The following is a 23,692-nucleotide window of genomic DNA, read 5'->3' on the forward strand; positions in this document are numbered from 1 at the left end:
CAAGTTCATAGGTTTCCTCCAACTGTCTAGGAAGATTAAATCACATGTGTAAATGTGATAAGAGTATTTTAGGTTTGAACACATGGATTGCAGAATTTGTATGCTGGCCAGAATTTCTGGTGGAGTAAGAATTTTTTGTAGAAATTTATTCCACCCATCATGTAAATGGCTAAATTCTTCTTAAGGCAGATCATTACCTAGATATTTTGACAGATTTGGCAAAAAGAAACAGGACAGCCCAACCTAATTCAATTAATCTTACCACCTATTCTTAAGAACAATTACTCACAAGAAAAATACAGCTGCACCAAAGAATAAAATCCATACCTGCCACTTATTAAAGTAATTTTCAATTTGCTTAAGTCTCTGTGCCTCATTTTCCTGTACGAAGAAAAAAAACCACTTCCTCGTAGTAAGTTGTCATAAATATTATCAAATATCATTCTCAAAAATCCTGAGTTGCATTAAAGCAAAAATAAATCATGAATGGTATATTTTTATTTTCTTTTTAAAATGTAGAATAAAACACAATGGACCATAGACATGTACTTAGGGTACCAACCAGTGGACATGACAAGATAACATAATGTTGATAGGGAATAGGAGTAGGGAACAATGTATAACTATCTAAATGTGCATGGGAAGGGGTGCTAACTAGCCCTAGTTTTTAGGAGTTCCCTACAGAATTACAAGGACCACTGCTTAATATCAGTTATGAGAGAGGCTGTGGTATGCATCAGCTTATTGTTTGGGAAGAGCTTAGTATGAGATGGACCCTTCTCTCATCTTATTAGGACTGAAAAATTAAGTTAGTTGATTTACGGGAAAGTGGTAAAGATTTGAAAAGTGATAGATATGATAAATGGCAGGCTGGGCATGGTGGCTCATGCCCAAAATCCCAGCACTTTGGGAGGCCAAGGTGGGTGGATCACTTGAGGTCAGGAGTTTGAGACCAGCTTGGCCAAAATGGGGAGACCCCATCTCTACTAAAAATATGAAAATTAGCTGGGTGTGGTGGCAGGTGCTCATAATCCCAGCTACTTGGGAGGCTGAGGCAGGAGAATCGCTTGAACCTGGGAGGCAGAGGTTGCAGTGAGCTGAGATTGCACCATTGTACTCCAGCCTGGGTAACAAGAGAGAGACTCCATCCAAAAAAAAAAAAAAGAAAAAAGAAATGATAAATGACAATAAGAAAGGCATAAGAGAAAAATATTCAAGACAATAGCAATGAAGAAAATATTTAAATGTTCTAAAAATATTTTGGAATAGGTGTTTAGAAATTAAAAAAAATGATTTATGCTTAAATACAAGGCTAGACTTTTCATTTCAGCAAATAGGATAATTCTACTGCCCAAACATATAGGTAGATAATATTCAACCTTTACCACAAATTTAGTAGCCATTGTCATTGTTAAGGGCAACAGTAAAGTATTTTGGAAACATTTGGAATTTAAATCGCCCTTTGATAGTTAAACTGTGAAATTAACACATAATGAATATCTATGAAAAGTTGCAAAGCTACCTTAAAAAACACAGAAAGCTTCCCAGTTAAGGCTGTATTACATCTTTACTGAAGGTACCAATATAACCAAAGAAAGAAGAAAGAAAATGTCCATCAGAAAGAGGACTTAAGTCAGACATTTAAGTTTCTTAAAAGCAGAGGCTTGCAGAGGAAACCAAACACAACACTTCTCCAAAAATTGTTAACGGGAAATAGATCCTTAACATTTACTACCAATAAGGCCAGTTATATTGCACTCTGGAGGCAAAGACTAAGTACTATATTTGGAGAAAGACTTCCAGGGTTTAAATCTGGCTTTGCCATTTAATAGCCATGGGCCTTTCAAAATAATATCCCAGATATCAGTGTTTTAACTTCATCTGCAGGTGGGGCTGACAATATTTCTTCTTCATAGAGTTCATGTGGATAAAATACACACTATCAATAAATGTTATCTATGATTATTACATTTACTGAGTGATATTGATAGGCTTTGTGTCCTCACCCAAATCTCATCTTGAATTGTAATCTCCTTAATTCTCATGTGTCTGGGCAGAGACCTGGTGGAAGGGGTACTTTGCCTTATGGTGTTCTTGTGATAGTGAGTTCTCACAAGATCTGATATTTTTACAAGGGGCTCTTCCCCCTTTGCTCCTCACACTTCTCTGTCCTGCCGCCATGTAAGATGTGCCTCTTTTCCTTCCAACATGATTGTAAGTTTCCTGAGGCCTCCTCAGCCATGGGGAACTTAAAGTCAATTAAACCTCTTTCCTTTATAAATTACGCAGTCTTGGGTGGTATCTTTATAGCAGTGTGAGAACAGACTGATACATTGAGCCAATTCCCTTTGCCCTGATTTCAAATTAACATTAAGCAACCTTCAGATTATGATATGGTTTCTTGTATAACTCAAGAAAGCAATGGCCAATTTGAGTATTGGCACGCCTGGAACAGGTTTTGTATTTTTATTATAAATTAATGGATTGAATTTCTCCTGTTATATTCCAGTCTTATGATCTTGATTATTATGAGTCTATTATGTTAGCAATGTGGCATATGTTTGATAGCAACCCAAAGGTCTTTTGAGCTAATGTCAAGATTCAAAAATTCAACACAGGTTGCCTCAGTTAAGGGTGTAAATTTTTTTTTCATAAGAAATTCTATTTCCAGGGAAATAAATAATAGAGAATGCATATAGATACATGGTAGGGCATCAGTCAAATCTAGGATGAGGGGGAGTATAGAGAGAATTATCCCTGTTCTTCTTTCACTTATGCTGATAGAGGCTAAAATGCAAGATAATCTCCTTTCTATTAGTAACTTGGACTATTTCAATATACCCTAGTTTACCAACCCATCCTTAGATATGCAACCAAAGTGATCTCTTTTTTAAAATTTATTAATTTATTTATTTTATTATACTTTAAGTTCTGGGATACATGTGCAGAATATGTAGGTTTGTTAAATAGGTATACACAAGCCATGGTGGTTTGCTGCATCCATCAACCCATTGTCTACATGAGGTACTTCTCCTAATACTATCCCTCCCCTAGTCCCTCACCCCCAACAGACCCTGGTGTGTGATGTTCTCCCTCTGTGTCCATGTGTTCTTATTGTTCAACTCCCACTTATGACTAAGAACATGCAGTGTTTGGTATTCTGTTCTTGTGTTAGTTTGCTGAGAATGATGGTTTCCAGCTTCATCCTTGTCCCAGCAAAGAACATGAACTCATCCTTTTTTATGGCTGCATAGTATTCCGTAGTGTGTATGTGCCACATTCTCTTTATCCAGTCTATCATTGATGGGCATTTGGGTTGGTTCCAAGTCTTAGCTATTGTGAATAGTGCCACAATAAACATACGTGTGCATGTGTCTTTATAGTAGAATGATTTATAATCCTTTGGGTATATACTCAGTAGTGGGATTGCTGGATCAAATGGTATTTCTGTTTCTTGATCCTTGAGGAATCACCACTCTGTCTTCCACCAACAGTGTAAAAGCATTGCTATTTCCCACATCCTCTCCAGCATCTGTCATTTCCTGACTTTTTAATGATCTCCATTCTAACTGGCATGAGATGGTATCTCACTGTGGTTTTGATTTGCATTTCTCTAATGAACAGTGATGATGAGCTTTTTTTCATATATTTGTTGGCTGCAAAAATATCTTCTTTTGAGAAGTGTCTGTTCATATCCTTTGCCCATTTTTTGATGAGGTTGTTTGCTTTTTCCTGCAAATTTGTTTAACTTCCTTGTAGATTCTGGATATTAGCCCTTTGTCAGATAGATAGATAGCAAAAATTTTCTCCCATTCTATAGGTTGCCTGTTCACTCTGATTATAGTTTCTGTTTCTGGGCAGAAGCTGTTTAGTTTAATTAGATCCCATTTGTCAATTTTGGCTTTTGTTGCCATTGCTTTTGGTGTTTTAGACATGAAGTCTTTGCTCTGAATCATATTGCCTAGGTTTTCTTCTAAGGTTTTTATGGTTTTAAATCTTATGTTTAAGTCTTTAATCCATCTTGAGTTAATTTTGTATAAAGAATAAGGAAGGGATCCAGATTCAGTTTTCTGCATATGACCAGCCAGTTTTCCCAACACCATTTATTAAATAGGGAATCCTTTCCTTACTGCTTGTTTTTTGTCAGGTTTGTCCAGATAGTTGCTTGCAGATGTGTGATGTTATTTCTGAGGCCTCGTTCTGTTCCATTGGTCTGTATATCTGTTTTGGTACCAGTACCGTGCTCTTTTGGTTACTGTAGCCTTTTAGTATAGTTTGAAGTCAGGTAGCAGTATGCCATCAGCTTTGTTCTTTTTGCTTACATTTTAATATTGTTATGTGTGAATTTGATCTCGTCATTATGATGTTAGCTGGTTATTTTGCCCATTAGTTGATGCACTTTCTTCATAGTGTCGATGGTCTTTACAATTTGTTATGTTCTTGCAGTAGCTGGTACTAGTTTTTCCTTTCCATATTTAGTGCTTCCTTCAGGAGCTCTTGTAAGACAGGCCTAGTGGTGACAAAATGTCTCAGCATTTGCTTGTCTGTAAAGGATTTTATTTCTCTTTTGCTTATGAAGCTTAGTTTGGCTGGATATGAAATTCTGGATGAAAATTCTTTTCTTTAAGAATGCTGAATATTGGCCCCCACTCTCTTCTGGCTTGTAGGGCTTCTGAAGAGAGATACACTGTTAGTCTGATGGGCTTTCCTTTGTGGGTAACCAGATCTTTCTCTCTGGCTGCCCTTAACATTTTTTCCTTCATTTCAACCTTGGTGAATCTGACGATTATGTGTCTTTGGGGTTGCTCTTCTCGAAGAGTATCTTTGTGGTGTTCTCTGTGTTTCCTGAATTTGAATGTTGGCCTCTCTTGCTAGGTTGGGGAAGTTCTCCTTGATAATATCCTGAAGAATATTTTCCAACTTGGTTCCATTCTCCCCATCACTTTCAGACACACTAATCAAACATAAGTTTGGTTTTCTCACATTGTTCCATATTTCTTGGAGGCTTTGTTCATTCCTTTTCATTCTTTTTTCTCTAATCTTGTCTTCACATTTTTTTTTATTAAGTTGATCTTCAATCTCTGATATCATTTCTTCCACTTGTTTGATTCAGCTATTGATACTTGTGTATGCTTCATGAAATTCTCGTGCTGTGTTTTTCAGCTCCATCAGGTCATTTATGTTCTTTTCTAAACTGGTTATTCTAATTAGCAATTCCTCTAACCTTTTTTTAAGGTTCTTAGTTTCCTTGCATTGGGTTAGAACATGCTCCTTTAGATCGGAGGAGTTTGTTATTACCCACCTTCTGAAGCCTACTTCTGTCAATTCATCAAACTCATTCTCTTCCAGTTTTATTCCCTTGCTGGTGAGGAGTTGTGATCCTTTGCGGGAGAAGAGACATCCTGGTATTTGGAATTTTCAGCATTTTTGTGCTGGTTTTTCCTTATCTTAGATGATTTATCTACCTTTGGTGTCTGATGTTGGTGACCTTCTGATGGAGTTTTTGTGTGGACCTCCTTTTTGTCAATGTTGATGCCATTCCTTTCTGTTTGTTAGTTTTCCTTCTAACAGTCAGGCCCCTCTGCTGCAGGTCTTCTGGAGTTTGCTGGAGGTCCACTCCAGACCCTTTTTGCTTGGGTGTCACCAGTGGAGGCTGCAGAACAGTAAAGATTGCTGCCAGTTCATTCCTCTGGAAGCTTCATCCCAGATGGGCATCTGCCAGATGCCAGCTGGAGCTCTCCTGTATGAGGTGTCTGTTGACCGCTGCTGGGAGGTGTCTCCCAGTCAGGAGGCATGGGGATCAGGGACCCACTTGAGGAGGCATTCTGTTCCTTAGCAGAGCTCGAATGCTATGCTGGGAGATCTGCTGCTCTCTTCAGAGCCAGCAGGCAGGAATGTTTAAGTCTGCTGAATCTGTGCCCACAGCTGCCCCTTCCCTCAGGTGCTCTGTCTAGGAAGACAGATGTTTTATCTATAAGCCCTGACTGGGGCTGCTGCCTTTCTTTCAGAGATGCCCTGCTCAGAGAGGAGGAATCTAGAGGGGCGATCTGGCCACTGTGGCTTTGCTGAGCTGCAGTGGGCTCCAGCCAGTTCAAACTTCTCAGCGGCTTTGTTTACACTGTGAGGGGAAAATTGCCTACTCAAGCCTCAGTAATAGCAGACGCTCCTCCTGCCCCCAAGCTCAAGCATCCCAGGTTGACTTCAGATGGCTGTGCTAGCAGCAAGAATTTCAAGCCAGTGGATCTTAGCTTGCTGGGCTCGGTGGGGGTGAGATACGCTGAGCTAGACCACTTGGCTCCCTGACTTCAGCCCCCTTGCCAGGGGAGTGAACGGTTCTGTCTTGCTGGCATTGCAGGTGTCACTGTGGTAAGAAAAAACACTCCTGCAGCTAGCTCAGTGTCTGCTCAAATGGCTGCCCAGTTTTGTGCTTGAAACCCAGGGCCCTGGTGGTGTAGGAACCTGAGGAATCTCCTGGTCTGGTGGTTGTGAAGACTGTGGGAAAAGCATAGTATCTTGGCTGGAATGCACTTTTCCTCACAGCACAGTCTCTCATGGCTTCCCTTGGCTAGGGGAGGGAGTTCCCCAACCCCTTGCACTTCCCGTGTGAGGCGATGCCCCACCATGATTTGGCTTGCCCTCCGTGGACTGCACCCACTGTCTAACTAGTCCCAATGAGATGAGCTGGGTACCTCAGTTGGAAATGCAGTGCCTTCTGCATTGATCTCTCTGGGAGCTGCAGACCGGAGCTGTTCCTATTCGGCCATCTTCCCAGTTACCAAAGTGATCTTATAACAAGAAAATTTGTTTATATCATTCTTAATTTCTTCAGTGATTTCACAGTGGGCAGGGTAAGTATTTACCTAACTCACAGAATACTCCAGCTTCCTCACCCTCAGAGGTAAGGCCCAGGCAGTAATGTTCATACATTAAAGTAAATCTATGCCCCTGGCTGCAGTTGATTATACCAAGGGTTAAAACAGCTGGGCCAATTATATTCTTTCTTCTAGAAATTTGGAATTGTGATGAAGAAAGATTAGTCTCTTCCAATTGCTGGACTCAGTAGTTGAATGATGGCTATGTCTTCTGTGTGAACTGTGAAGCAGAGAAAGCTGGTCTAGTTAGAAAGAAAATAATGAAACAGAAACACTAAGAAGAACAGAAGTGAAAGAAGGTGACATCTTCATAGGCTCGCTTCTCCTTGTTTCTGTTTCTAAGGACTTACTGAATTGCCACACTTGAGTTTCAAGAAACTGCCTAGATTTTTCTGTTTAAGTCAAATTATTTTTTAGCTTAATCCTGAATTATGTTTTAACTGATTGCAACTATGAAACTCCTTCTCTTGGAAAGTGCAGTCTAACATGATACCCTTCATAAGTGTTTTTTACCAGCTACTGGTCAGCCTCACCTTCTACTGTCACAGCTTCTGCTTGATTCCCCATCTCTCCACCAAACACCACAGAAGACATTTTAACTTTTTATGTTCTCATACCATGGTGTTTTCTATATGCTATTTTCTATTTCTACAGTAATCACCCATCCTTGTCCACTTGCTAAATGGTTACCCATTCTGAACACTTCTATCGTGCTTTGGAGATTCTCACATTATTGTACATAAGTCATTGAAGAAAAATGATTTGCATATCTGTCTCACCACCACCACCCTATAATCTCACAGGTGGTGAACATATACCATTTATATTTTTTAATTTCACTTCTGTATTCTCAATTCAAAATACACAATATGTGCTGTCATGTATTCCTGATACATTTACATCTTTTAATCATTCATAAGATAACATGTATGTTCAATAAGCACAACTACTAAAGACTTTGGGGTTGATGATATTATTTCTGGGACAAGAAGATAAAATAAAACCTGAGATTCTAAAGAGTTACGTTCTACTTGGCATTCCCACCAGGACATAAAAGTTCTGATAATTGTTAGTCATGAGCCCAGCAACATAAAACATCATAAGCTCTTTCATCAATGTCAACGTTAAATCATATTTGATGTATTAAGTGCCAGTATAAAACCAATAACAGCAGCATCCTGGGACATAGCCAGAATAAGAGCTGTGAAGGATCATTTGCCGTTCATAACTGCATTGACTTGAGCACAAGTGGGGATTAAAGAACAGCAGGCTACCTAATCAGCCGCTGTCTGGAGAGCTGAAGTTGGGTTATCACAAGCTGAGAGGGCAGTGAGAGCGACAGTAAGACAGGCGTACATCTGAACAGGTTGTCAGGAGACAAAAGTGCCTGTGAAGTGGCCATCAGAATTGAACAATGAAGTGTGTTGGTCCCACTGAGGGTGAGTCAGTCACACCGCCAGGATAGCAGATGATGAAGTATGGTGAAGTAGGAGAAGAAATATACAGGAGAAGAAATATACAGGATGCTTCTGGATTATGCTTGTTGTCTTTGTTTAATTATTAAGCAACTACCTCTGTGTCTTCTTTTAAAAAGATGCCCGTTTGGTGAAAAATAAGAGTGACTGATTATAAACAACCATTAAATCAAAATATTACCAAATTCTGCACACAGACCAAAGTTACAATAATCCTGTTAAAGAGTTTCTAAAACATTGCTGTGATGCATTTCTGGGTTGTGTTTGTGTAGGTGTCTGTGTGCCCAGAATCCCTTTGAGGGAATCTTCGCAGTCCATGTAGTTCAGGCGAGGCTGCTTCAGTCACCCACTGATGCCATTCGGTAGGCATCTAACCTAACTGCAACTCTCTACTCCCACCAAATCACACCAGTCTGGGACAGAGGCCTTCCTAGGATACTGACAGAACTTTTGAGGAAAATATCTTTTTATGAGTGTGAAATTCTGATTGTCATCTGTGTTATAAAATGGGAAAAAGGGAAGGAGTAATTAAGGTAACAGAGGAAAAGAGAACAGAGAAACAAAGAATTCCTTGTTTCAACCATGCCTGGAGTTTATTCTCAGTTATGGGAGACAATGAGTTACCTTTTTGCTCAGTGTAGTGTGAATTGGGCCTGCACATATTACCAAGATAGTCCTGACAAATACAACTGCTTTTTCACTAAACTGTCCAACTTTTTATCTGCCCCATCTCATTATACCAAATATAAGCCCATGTGCAGCAGCTGTACAAACAGGACAAAAAAGAAATAGATAATAGGATGGGTCTAGGCTTTGGTCAGCAAAGAACTAAGCCACTGTCCATGACTGGTGCTCCAGCAAGCACAGCTCTTATATCAGTCGCTAATGTGCTTATTTCTCTCACGATTGAGATGCAAGCAAATTTTAATAGCAATAAGCAAAGAGATAGAATTAAAATGCAACATTAATTTTACTGGCTTCTCACAAACTGAAATATTCTGAAGAGAAAATTGAAATTAGCATATACTGAGCTTAGACCCTAAAGTGTTAGAAGCCAAAAGGTTTTAGCCTTGGCATGGCCAAAAGCACTGCTTACTTTTTGATAATGGCATAATTGCTTTTTTTCATATCAGTGAAAGCAGAAACAGAAACAGCATATTGACTTTATAAGTCATAATCAGGCTGGCAGCCTGTATTAGTCTGTTCCCACACTGCTAATAAAGACATACCCAAGACTGGGCCATTTCTAAAGAGAAAGAGGTTTAATGGACTCACAGATGACTGGGGAGGCCTCACAATCATGGTAGAAGGTTAAGGAGGAGCAAAGGCACATCTTACATGGTGGCAGGCAAGAGAGGATGCTCAAGGGAACAGCCCTTTTATAAAAAACAACAACAAAAAATCAGTTCTTGTGAGACTTACTAACATGAGAACAGTATAGAAAAACCCACCCCCATGATTCAATTACCTCCCACTGGGCCCCTCGCATGGCATGTGGAGATCAGGAAAGCTACAATTCTGGATGAGATTTGCGTGGGGACACAGCTAAATATCTTAGCCCTTGCCTTCCTTAACATTTCTCTGCTGGAATCACAGATACACTCCATATAACACCTCAGTTTAGCCCTGGCTATGACCAGGTAGGTGCTCCTTGGCATTGTTATAGGGCTAGTCTTGCATATTGGGCCCAGCCTCAATCATATGATGGGAGTTCTGGCACTCTCTGTCCACTTCATTTTCCTTAACCCTACTGCTTCCCCCATCCAGAACCTGAAACTTCTGGTTATATCTAAGACACCACCTAGTAGGACTGCATTCTGTTCTCCATGCTGTTTACTATACAATTTTCTATGAAAAGACTGGTTGTTTGGAATCACAGTAACTCCCTCCACCTGGCCAAGAGAAGCACAGCCACTGTCATAGTGTATGTCTGCTTTGGAGTTCATTGTATATTGAGTCAAATCTAAAATTTTATATTCTAGTAGACACTGAATATGGTTTCACCTAGGTGATTTCATGTGTTTAATACTGCATCAAAACATCCTTGGCAAGTTCCTGCCTTCTTTATTCCCACCTTTCTGTCACTAAGTTCTCTATATTTTAAAAATAAACCTTAAAGGTTATGAATTGCTGTTGGATATACAAATATATAGGAGCAATACTAGTTAGGAGGCTTTTGTTAGAATCCATTTGAGAGACTATGTTAGTTTAGTCCAGTATGTTAGAAGAGGTAAGAGTTGGTCATTTTCTAGGTATTTTTGAAGGTAGATCTGATGGGATTTTCTAAAATGTTGGATATGGGTTGTGCCAGAAAGAATGCCATCAAAGGTGACACCTCTATTTTTTATTTGAGTAACTGGAAAGGTGAGTTGCTGTTATCCTACTTAGAGATGATTGAGGGAGGAGCAGCTTTGGAGGGTACAGAGATGGAGAACTAGTTTGGGAATACTGTTTGTAGTATCTATTAATCATCAAAATAGAGACGTAGCATTATTTAGGCACCCTGAAGGCCACCCTCACTTTAACACCAGCTGAAAAGTTCAAGGGCCTCCAAGGCCACCTTCACTTCTGACACCAGTTGCAATTTCAGGGGTCCCAAAGATTACTCTCAAGTTTGATAATTTGCTAGAATGAGTCACAGAGTGGACTGAAAGCTGTTATACTCATGGATACAATTTATAGCAGCAAAACAATGTAGGTTAAAATTGGCCAACGGAAGGAGTGCATAGGGAAGAGTCCAGGAGAGGTCCGTGCCCAGACTTTTCAGTTGTTCTTTCCCAGTGGATTTGTGGACAGTGCTCACTTCTTCAGGCAATGACCTGTAACAATGTGCATGTAGTATTGCCAACTAGGCAAGCTCACTAGAGCTTGAATGTCTTAAGTGTTTATTAGGGTTTAATCATGTAGACATGACTGGCCACCCACTTGGCTGACCTGTAGTCTCCAACCCCTCCAGAACTTGAGCTGATGCCACATAGCTCAAAGCCTCTACCATGAATCACATTGTTTGACTAATCACATTGTTAGCCCAAGGTGCCCAAATAAACAAAAGCACTCTTGTTAGATAGGACATGGCAAAGGCTTAGAGAGTGTCTCCCAGGAGCTAATGGCAAAGGCCGGATCTCTCTTTAGGTAAAATTAATTCTTTATTACACAGATGCCAAATAGAAAAGTGAATTTAAAAGTCTAGAGTTTGAGAAAGTGGACTGGTAAGAGATATGCCAGCGTACAGACAGTGTATTAGAGTCCTAGCAGAAAGTAAAATTCACTTAGATGGTTTTAATGAAAACATTTTGATAAAGATACCCCTTACAGGACTGCAGGCAAGATTTTGAGATCAAGTAGGGCCTGTTGAGACACATATATACCATCCTGGGATCCAAAGGAAAAGCAGTTAACAGAACCAATGAAAAGGGTTAACATGTGCCAAGCACAGTGCTAAGTGATTTGTTCATTTGATTTTTCCTATATGGTAATAATTATTATTATCAAATGCTTATAAGGGAGAAAACTAAAGTTTAAAACATTTAAATACCTTTGTCTATATTTGTTCAGGAGAGAGTTAATGACCTGGGATTCAGCCTGAATCTGCCTGCCACGGGCTGCCATGCCACTTATATGATTCTAAAATTTGACATTGTTATGCCACATATAAGATCATCCTGTGGGTTTCAGCCGCTCTCCATGACTTACCTACAAAAGGGTGTCTAGTTAGTGACTCTCCCACTTAGGCTTTCCTGAGAGGCTTCTGCTTTGCTAGATCAGGGTTGTGAGCATTTCTGGTATGGAAGTTTACAAATGGGAGTGGAGTAGAAAAAACAAAAACATAATGGCCGAATTCTCCTGTGGAAGGAAGTTAGGGAAGAGGTAAACTAGACTTCCAGGAAAACAGAAGCAAAGGAAGTATGTATGTGTATGATTCTAAGTGTGTACACACATACACATGTACATGTATTAAGTGTCAAAGTGTGTTTTCAGGATTTGGGTGTGTTTGAGAAGAGAAAAAAATACAGGATTTTAGTTGCAACTGACTATAAATTTGTACACTTTTAAAATGTTTTCATGGGATTGTAAAGGTCTGAATTCCTGCTGGAATTCTATTTATTTGAATGTATCATGGTTCAAGGTTATCAAGTGTGTCCTGGCTTCGAAGAGAACATAGTGCCTAGAATGTATCATCTATACTGTATTATTATTATGATTTTTGTTACAAAGCGTGGAAGGGCTTTGCCATTAATAAAACAATATAATGGATATGATTTAATATCATTAAAAATAATCAAGAGATTTTAATATGGGGATAACCATTATATAATCCCACCATGCCTATCCCACCACCTGGGTCAGATCCCGTATTGAAACATGCCCCTAGACACAGAACTGGACTCAGAAAGATTCTTGGCACAGTGCTTCATTTAGCTACAAATAATCAATTATCCCTGACATGCAAGTTAAAACTCATTTGCCACTTGGTTTATAATGTATCAAGCTAAAATGTTTTAACATGTTCTGGGTCTTCAATTTACTAGGTTATATCATAATTTTAAAATAAAGAAAATTTCAAAGAAAGAAGGCAATATCTCTGTAAAATTAGCATTCAGACTTGAGTATGTCCCAAGGAGACTAGCCCTCCAATTCTATTTTGTATAGCTTTCTTTTCCTCCTCTGAGAAGGTGAAAAACTCTTTGAAGATTTCCTTTCATTTCCTTTTCTCTTCTCTCTTATTTCTCTAAGCCCCAATTATCTCTGTTTTCAATGTTCTCTGTACAGAAAAAATCCGCATCACCACCCACCTCCAGAAGGAGAGAATGGCTGATAAAAAATTGGAGATTGGATTTTGTTTCAGTGCCAATCTACTACTTGTGTCAAACCATTTTAAATTTTCTCATTATAGTTAGCTCTCTTCTCTATTTTTACAGCATTGCCACACATTACAAAATCCATAGCTGGTACATATGCACTATTTAGTTAGCTTTAAAACATTTCTGTAGCCCACATACATTCTAATAAAATTAATTCTTTGAAAGGCCATACTTTGGCTTCTGAATAAATTATTATCTTTTCTCAACTGAAAAAAAAAAGATGATGATGAAACATGGAATATAGATGAATCATTTTTGTGTAGCTTATAATACAATGCATTTTGGGTTGAGTCTGAGCTTGCATAAAGACTGACTGAAATGATAAATAGGCCTGATGATTAAGCCAGGTGGCAAATCACTAGTTTGTGTAGCTGCCAAAATGGATACCTGGGTATGGGAGGAAACCTGGGACTCCCTTCCTGGGGATAGGGTAGTCGAGGCCTGCCGTAGAAGTGGTGTGATTAATCTCTTTAGAAGAGAGTGCCAGCTGCAGTGTGCATAAATGTCTCCTCCTGGATTCTCCTTAAAAGCTAAATTGATGACAGTCTCTTAAAAGAGCAGCTCAGCCCTCTGTCCCTGTAAGATAAAGACAAACCTTGATTTCAGCTACTACTGAAATAAGTAAAAGTAGAAAAAGGTTAAAAAAAAATAACAGTACTGTACTCTTAGTGAAGGAATTAGAGGTAATAGAATGTTACTCATCTACCAAAATATAAGGATAATTGCAATGTGGTACCCTTTTTTGTTAGAAGGTTTTGTGGAGCCCATCTGTGCAGATTGTTTGTTTTTTACTATCATTACATCAATTAATTACATTAGGGAAGAAGGGGACACTTTAATTAAAAGGCTGTTTTAAGGAGTTATAATTCTACTCTGTCATTAAATAATTTAACAATTTAAATAGGCACCAAATTTGTTAGTAAAGAATAATTCTGAAAATGTTTGTTTGTAAATTATTTATATTAACCACATTTTCAGCAAAATTAATTTTGCCTTTTTATTTCATCAAATCAAAGCGTCCATTGATTTCTTCATTTTGACCAATGGACTGTAGGATAGGAAGACATATAAACCATCTCAATTATTTTGAGAGACTTATTTTTTCCTAAAAGAGAAAAACCTCTCATTTTACCAAGTATGCATATTTGCTTGTGTGTGATATGTCTGATTAGGGTAATCTTTTCTGCAATTGGCATTTTTAGAACATGATGAGTTGCAAAGAGAAGACATGGCTGGTGAAAAGATGGATATAGACCCACAGAAATAAATATATAGCCAATAATGTAATTTAAAAACATTGCTGCTACTTAAGTCCATACTTCTTTGGATAAAAACCTTCATCCACATAAGTTATACTACAGGAATGCCTTTGTGTATTTCACATAAAATGGGTGGATAAACATCTATTTTTTGGATGTCTTGAATGCATCTTTCTTTTTGTCAACCATCTTCCATTTTTCTAGAGTGTGCTAAATAATGGAATTCAGAGACTTGTATCTAAATGTCAGGGAATAAGGAAAGCAAAGGATTAAGAATGAAAATAAATATGGAAATATGAGAAATAATATCATGGGACAGAACAAGAGAGGCTTAGAAGCTAAGAGAAGATTCTAAGCAACTCCTGGTGCAGGAGTTGATGGAAAGTGAGAATTTAAAAATAATGATTCTGCATTCTGTATTTAAACTGTTCTCTAGACTGTTTCTGTCTGATTGAAATAGTAAGCCATTTTTTTTAAAACATTGAATGTGAAAAGCATTATAGAAACTGCTTTTGTACTTAAAAAAAATGCCAGAGTCAAACTGTATCTCATGCAGTTGAAGACTGAATAAGTAATATTATTCCAGTCATTATATTTATCTAGGATCAGTGTCTTACACATAGTGGATGTGCAAAAAATATATGTGGAATGAATGAATGAAGATAACATTTTACTCAAATTTTTAAGTAGGAGACGGCAGGTCCTACTAGTAGTGAGGTTTTTATCTTTTTTTCACTCTTCAATGTTATTCCCCAGGGAAACTGGCAAACTGAAATCTGTTACATTAATGCCAGCAGAGATGTATGAGTGTGAAGAGAATAAGTAAACATTTATTGTACCTGATGGCTCAATGGACTATCAACATGAGCTCTTAAGAGACTTGAAAATACTTGGCAGTGTTTATCCTTAGGATGAACTCTACAAAAACTATTTGTGGACATTATTTTCAGAAAATTTCTATTTTGGGGTCAGCTGAGCTTTTTCAATTCAAAACTTATGAGCTAATATGTAACTATATAACGCCTTTCCTTTGGCAATGAGTTAATTTCTTAATGTTTTTTAATTCTAATGTTAGGTTTTCTATCTAAATCAGTGTCAAAATATCATCCAAAAATAGAGATAGTAGCTAGTACATTTTTAATACAATATTTTCCCATGTTACCCAATATAAACATAATGACAAACAGCCATTTACTGAGAGTCTAATATATGCCAGTTTATTTTTCAGAGTTTTACATGTTAAACCATAGATGATTTTACCTTCTTATAGAGAAAAATATATCAAAGCTGAGAGTAACATAGTGCCTTGCACAAAGCCACACGGATTGTAAAATTTTGAACTGAGATTCAAACCCAACACCCCAGCTATAATAGACTAAATCCCCCAAATTTACATTTGACGCTCACAAAATCTTGTGAGGTAAGTAGGGCAAAAGCAATTTTTATTTTCTTTATTCACCTAGGGTTGTTATTTGATTATTCTGCATTTATGGAAATAATTTTGTGAGAATGATAGAAATTTAAAATGGGAACAATTTAGGGGTAATCTAAATTAGCAATTCTTAGACATTTTCGTTTTAGTACCACTTTACATCCTTAATAATTATTGAATAACTCTAAAAGTATTTGAAATATGTGCTATATTCCTTGATACCATATTAGCAATAAAAATTGGAACATTAAATTCATTATTAGTTATTTAATAACAATAGTAAACTACCTCTTCACATAAATATTATATTTTTATGATAAGTACCTAGATGTTCCAAAACAAAAAAAAAAGTGAGAAGGGTAGCATTATTTTATATACTTATAAGTCTCTTTACTATTTAGTTTAATGGGAGGCAGCTAGATTTTCACATCTGCTTCCTCATTCAATCTGTTGTAACATCACATGTCCTGTAACGTCTGGAACACTCCACTGCACATGTGTGAGAGAATGGAAGTTAAAAAAACAAAGAAGGGCTGGGCACGGTGGCTCACGACTGTAATCCCAGCACTTTGGGAGGCCAAGGCGGGTGGATCGTGAGGTCAGGAGTTCGAGACCAGTCTGGCCAACAGGGTGAAACCCCATCTCTACTAAAAATACAAAAATTATCCGGGTGTGATGGTGGGCACCTGTAATCCCAGCTACTCGGGAGGCTGAGGCAGGAGAATTGTTTGAACCCAGGAGGCGGAGGTTGTAGTGAGCCAAGATCGCGCAATTGCACTCCAGCCTGGGTGAGAGTCTGAGACTATATCAAAAACAACAACAAAAACTACTTAGTATTATTTAAAAATAGCTAGACTTCAGGGACCCTTCTGAAGGGTACAGGTGTCTGTGGAGCCACTTCGAGAGCTGCTGATCTAGATAAAACTTTCATTTAGAAGACATGGAAATTAAGGTGTCTCATGGATCTGCTACTGATGATCGATTAGAGAGGGGCTGATACTTTCCTACAAGGGTATTAGATATGGCTAGGATGGATGCTCAAACTATCTTATGGAAATATATGAAGGTGATTTTGAGTGGCGGTTTGTATTTTACCTCCCTCCCACTGATGACACAACAACCAACCCGCACAACCCTTCTGAAACTACCCTTGCCTGGAACAGCAATGATCTTGTTAAATTCAATAATCATTTTTTAAAAAGTGCTTACTGAGATTTGTTTGTTAGCAACCCTTGACATGGCTGATCACTCCCTTCATTTTGACTCAATTGTATGGTCCTCCCATGATCTCACACTCAGTGAAAGCACCCTCTCTCTCCAGATGCCCAACCAGAAGTCAGAAACTTCCCAGACTCTGATCTCTTCCTCACCAAGTGATCTCAATCATCTTTTCTTATAAATATCTCAGTATTCCATCCACATTTTTTCTGCCTGATATTTTGCCCTGACTATGCATCTTACCTCTCTTACATTATCACTACTATCTTCTAACGATTTGATTTTATTCCTTATTTTTATGTGTTTTTTTTTCCAAATTTTATTTTAGTTTCCAGGTGTACATGTGCAGGTTTGTTACATGGGTAAATTTTGTGTTGTGGGGGTTTGGTGTACACATAATTTTGTCACCCAAGTAATCAGCATAATACCAATAGGCAGTTTTTCAGTCATTAGTTCACTTCAAATAATGAACTCCAGCTCTGTCTGTGTTGTTGCAAAGGCCATGGTCTCATTTTTATGGCTGTGTAGCATTCCATGGTGTATATGTACCACATTTTCTGGTATCTAGGTTGATTTCACATCTTTACTATCATGAATAGTGCTGCGATGAACATACACATGCATGTTTTTTAATGGTAGAGTTATATTCCTTTGGGTATATCCCATTAATGGGATTGCTGAGTTGAATGGTGTTTTAAATTCTTTAAGAAATCTCCAGACTGCTTTCCAGAGTGGCTGAACTAATTTACATTCCCACCTTTTCTCCACAACTTCACCAGCATGTTACTTTTTGACTTTTTAATAATAGTCATTCTGAATGGAAAATATTTGCACACTATATCTCTGACAAAGGTCTCATTTCCAGAATCTACAAGGAACTCAAGTCCGCAAGCAAAAAATAATCAACCTCATTTAAAAATGGGCAAAAGACATGAAAAGACACTTCCAAAAGAAGACATATATGTGGCCAACAAACATATGAACCAATGCTCAATATCACTAATCATTAGGGAAATGCAAATTAAAACCACAATGAGATACCATCTCACACTAGCCAGCATGGGTTTTATTAAAAATCCAACTATTTCTTTCCCCGGTTCTTCTCATCGGTCCTCCATAATCTGAGCAATTCTTTTGAACTACAGATTCCAAGTGGGCACTTTTCACAGCTCTTAGGTTAAAGCCCCAATTCTTTCAAGTATTTTACAAAAGCTTCTGAAGCAGCCCCGTGCTTGCATCTACAGCTGGGCTTGTCACTGATTCTTCTTTGCTTCATAAGATTCTCTGACCTGCTCCCTCACTTCCATGACAGTATATAAAAACTGTTTATTCTTCTATATGCATTCCTTTGACTCTTTCTCTTTTTATTCATGTATTAACTTGGATGTCACCTCCTTTGGAATAATTTCCCCTGAGTCCTCCCACTCTGAGTTAGATTATCCTGTATATGATTCCTCAATGATGTGTTCTTTCCAACCAAAATATTATTTGCCAGTCTTCATTTGTAGTTACTTGCTTAATATCATTTTCCCCTGTATACTTTTAGTATTGTATGCACAGAAACTTCATCTGATTTTGTCTTTCTATAGTGAAAGAATAACCCCATTAAAAAATGGGCAAATGACATGAAAAGACACTTCTCAGAATTGTTCTACCCAATGTTGAGAACAATGTTGGACTTACAGTAAGAAGATTATAAGTCATACACATTTGTTAGATGCATTATTAAATGAATATTTTTTCTCTTTTTTCTGCAGTTAGTTGTATTTATGGTTTTCTGACTCACCTTTATGAAGTTGAGAATCTTGCTTTGAATTAATTATTTTATTGTCCTGTTAGTATAATATAGTTACTATCCTGTATGACTGCTATGCCAAAGTGGTTCAAAGACTGGCTCTCGTATGACACCTAAAACCAGGTGAAACCAGGCCTATATTTGGAAATTGGCCTCATTCTTTTATGACCAAGAAGGTCATCTGGGAAGATTGGTTAAAATATGCATGCATGAGTTCTACCCTCTGAAGATTCTAAATTGGTTGTTTAGATTGTAAGCAGCTCCACAGATTACTGCCACACCTTTCAAAGTGTAGGAACTACTGACTTACTGCAAGAATACTCTGGTTTATTTATAAAAAGTAGTTAAAGAGTTACCTTGTAAAATGTACTCTAATTTAGTAGCAGAGCACTCCCATGTTCAAAGAAATATATAGTTTTCTGAATGTATAGTTTTCTGTACATATATGTTTGGAAGGACGTCATAGCCGAACATTAAACTCTAGCAGGTATTACAAGTTCAAGTACCTATTTTTGTTTCTTTACAGCTCAATGTTAACACCTGTACTCATTAAACACATCTTACTTCTCTAGAACTTATTGTAGTATGTTTAATGGATGCATTTAATATCAATTTTTATGTAGTATTTATTTAAATAGCATTAGTAAATATTTAACTTTGCAAAACAAAATGTGGTAATACTATTTTACCATGCAATTTTTGCAGCTGTTATGTGTAGAAGCTGTTAGGTGTAGAAGCTGTATAACTTACAGTGAAGCAACTTTATGGGGCCATGTGTTTTTAAAACAAAATATACCAAGTATATTTGTGAATTCACATTTTTTATTGTTAATTGATACATAATAATTTTGCATATTTATGGAGTATAATGTAATGTTTTGACATATGTATATATGTACTGATGACATTAGAGTAATTAGCATATCCATTACCTTGAACATTTATCATTTATTTGTGATAAGAACAGACAAAATCTTCTAGCTATTTTGAAGTAAATAAAACCTTATTGTTAACTATAGTAATCCTTCTAAGCAACAGGACACCAGCATTTATTCTTCCTTTCTAATTGTAACTTTGTACCCACTGACCATCCCCTCTCCATCCCTCTCTTCCCTCTACCCTCCATTTATTTTTATTTATATTTACTCCTGTTTTCAAAAAGGTTAAGTAACAGGTATGTATACATACATACAGACAGTACATGTACGCACACGCGCACGCACACGCAGACACACACACACCACACACACACACACACACACTCGAGAAACAGAGAGAAGGAAAAAGAGACAGTTTCTGATTATTTACAAATATTTTGCTTTATCATTGTTTGTCATACTGTATTGATGAAGGTAGTTTTTCAGGGAAAATAGAAATAGATACTAGTATAGAGATGAGATTTTTAAAAGATAAGAAGAAAGAGTAGAAGGAGAAAAGAAAATTGCTTCATTTGATCCAAGCTGCAATGGAATTGGATGATCTTTTTTTCTTTTCACACTCTTTTATATAGTGGATCTTTTGTGTCAGCTCTTTAATGTGTTTCATTACTTGAAGACTGTATAAAGGAATACATTCAATAATTTTTCTCTTATTTTAAAATGCATCACAGTTATATGACTTATTGGAAATATATTCATTAATGTGATATATTTTTAATTTAATTATCAGGTACTTCTCTAGGAGAATGCTTACTTTACAAATGTGTGCAGGTATATTTACTTTTTAATTTAATGTTGTTAACTAGAAAACAATACAAAAATTGTTAGCATTATTTTTTAAAATAATTATGGTTCAGGCTATTTAAAATCTATTTTATTAAGGAAAGTTATTTCACTGTTACATATACACCAACTTGAGTTTCCAGGTTATTCACCAGAACATTACATGTTACTGACGATGAAAACCAAGTAACCAAAGTTTCTAATAATAGGGAATAGTTACATAAATTAGGTGCGTGATAAAACACAGTGTTCATTAAAGGCAATCTAGAATAATAATCACTGACTTACAAGGCCCTCTAAGGCATTATCACAAAACAATTATTAATGTAAAATACAATACAAACAAAGCTATGTGTGTACACGTGTAAACGCACAGAACGTGTTATGGAAAAACAGTATTTCAAGCCTTTAATAGTGACAGCCTGCAGGGGAGTAGAACTGGGGTATAAAGGGAAACTATTTTACTCTATGTCTTTTTATACATTTAAGTTATTTATATTAACTTTTAGTCATGTGTTTCTTTTATAACTTGAAAAATGTCTTAAAGAATTTGAGAAATGTTTATTTTAACAAAAATAACAGAGGATATGGAATTGTTTTGAAACAGGAATTTCAAGTTGCACCATTAAATACACTTATACATGGTCAAGAAAATTATGCGTTCTTGGCCGTATCAAACTATCTCATGTAGTTTATAATATACAAACCTATGTAACCACAAAAATTAAAATGAAATAAGAAGAAAATTATACATTCTAATGAGTGTTTTCTGATTCTTTGCCCTACTCTATTTTTTATCTCTAATATTCTTTTTTTTTTTTCCATTTTAATTAAAGGTCTCATTCGTTTGCAAGAGCTCATCAAAGCTCCATCAAGGTATAATCTTCGACTCAAAATTCGTCAGTTACCTGCTGATACAAAGGATGCAAAACCCTTACTAAAAGAAATGAAAAGAGGCAAGGAGTTTCATGTAATCTTTGATTGTAGCCATGAAATGGCAGCAGGCATTTTAAAACAGGTAACCTTTAAATTACTTCAATTCTTGTTTTCTTCATAAACTTGCACTTACAATATGATCTTCTTTTAAATCAAAATATTATTGTTATGCAATCAGTTATAATAACCTTGATGTAATTTTATGATAGAAAGTCTGACAATTGCTTTTAATTAATTGTCTTAAAAGAAAAGTAATGTAAACATTGATGATCTTCAAAACGGGTTGTTGGAAGTTTGGAGGTTATTTTCAAATGACTGCAATGCTGTTGGTTAATGAGATAGTTGATTAATGAGATAGTTATTTCTTTTTGTTTTGAAATGAGGGAAGGAACTAAGAGTCAACCAGTTGAGCAGCTCACTCATTACAATCAGCCAGTAGGAAAAAGATGTAATAGATTTACCATTTACCTGATATTTACTGTAAGAGACTTTATATATTTGATCTTATTTCATCATCACTACAACAAAAAGAAGTAGGGACTATCTCTACTTTACAGACAAACTGAGTCCCAAAATGAACAAGTAACTTGACCAATGTCAAGTAGCAAGAACATAGCAGAGGGATTGATATCCAACCTAATGATGTTAACAAGTATTCATTCCAGAATAAAGCATTGCCTGACAAAAACCAACCAACCAACCAAACAAACAAACAAAACCTTCTAAATCAATCAAACAAAACAATTTGTAGCTGTGAAATCTTTTAGTATTATGTCAGCATTATTCAGACCTAACAGCAAACTGGAAAACAGAAATTATTATCAGTCCATATCTTACAGATGAAGGAACTGAAGTTGGGAGTTAAATGGCCAGAACAAGGCCCTACACTTACTATGTAGTAGAGCCTGGATTTGAACACAAATTTTTGGATTTTGTTTCTTAAACTCTTTTATGCACACTGAGCTGACACCTTTGTAGCTTGGAACTAGTCAGTCATTTAGAAACCTCTCATGTATAGGACAAAATATTTCTACTGGAGAGTTACGCAGATTCAGATGTCAAATTATATCCCGTTAAATATAACTGCCAATAGTAAATGCCTGTTATAGCATGGTTAATTTATTAAGCAGATGTTTATCCAATATTCCAATATAAATGTTGATTTTCACAGTAAAATATTTACTTTGATTTGAAAAATTGCTATAGTTTTATCTTTGGATAATGAAGCATATGAGAGTTTTTGGGTTTTTTTGGCAACAAATAAAACAACGCACTAAGATTACTACTGAACTCTAGAGTCAAGATTTATTTCACATAATTCCCAAACAATTCCTGATCATGGTTTGAATACACAGGCTTGGAAAAGAGACCTTTCCTTTACTCCTGGAGTGAGTGGCACTAAGCTATTTCAGTGACAGAGCTTTGGCTGCTTTCTCTAGGCTTCTAGTAAGTATGTAAATGATCAGCTGTCTTTTCTCTAAAGAACTAACTCTCACTATTTTGCTATCTGGAAGGTGAGAAGCCTGTCACCTTTAAATTTGAACTTGCTTTCTGACTTCTATTAGATATATTTATTATTTTATACTTGTTTTCTTATGTGTTCTTTGCAAACATGCTTTGTTTGCAAAAGGAAAACAGAAATAATAGAATATTTAAATACATATAACAGAAAAATGTAATTTTAACAAGGTCAGTAGATGAAAAATTAGAAAATAGGTAAAATGAGAATATGAAAGTTGAGATGAATCCAGAGCGACATTATTATACAGTATGCATCCTCTGAGGTCCTATACCAGAAGACCACAAATATGGTGGTGTTATTTTTAACTTTGTCTCACATTTGAATTTTCCAGTTATTCTAGTAACCAAGAAGAAAGTGAATAGCTTCTAGGAAATTCAGCAGTGCATTTAATAGGGTCCTATTTTGTGATTTGTGAAATTTTTCTGAGATTCCTGAACATTCACTGATGTTGGAACTCCTAAGACATGGTATAGGAGTTGAAGAGCAAAAATAGATGAGCTTTCAGCTAGTCTGGCTTCATCCAAGAATGAATAATAGGACTATGCAGAAAAATAAATGGCCTTAATCAGTTTACTCTTGTGCGTTTGTTTGTGTAATTTA

At 36.7% G+C, this 23,692-nt stretch overlaps 1 protein-coding gene across 8 annotated transcripts in view; it reads left to right on the forward strand.

The window, feature by feature from the left end:
• Positions 1-23,692, forward strand: part of GRIK2 (glutamate ionotropic receptor kainate type subunit 2) — a 676,376-nt gene that overhangs the window by 261,445 nt on the left and 391,239 nt on the right. For all 8 annotated transcript variants that reach the window (XM_047418681.1, NM_021956.5, XM_047418682.1 and 5 more), the window contains one exon: positions 21,471-21,652. In XM_047418681.1, the coding sequence (XP_047274637.1) occupies positions 21,471-21,652 (182 nt within the window). The remainder of the gene's footprint in view (positions 1-21,470; positions 21,653-23,692) is intronic.

Source organism: Homo sapiens, chromosome 6 (assembly GCF_000001405.40).
Source record: "Homo sapiens chromosome 6, GRCh38.p14 Primary Assembly".
Lineage (NCBI taxonomy): Eukaryota > Metazoa > Chordata > Mammalia > Primates > Hominidae > Homo > Homo sapiens.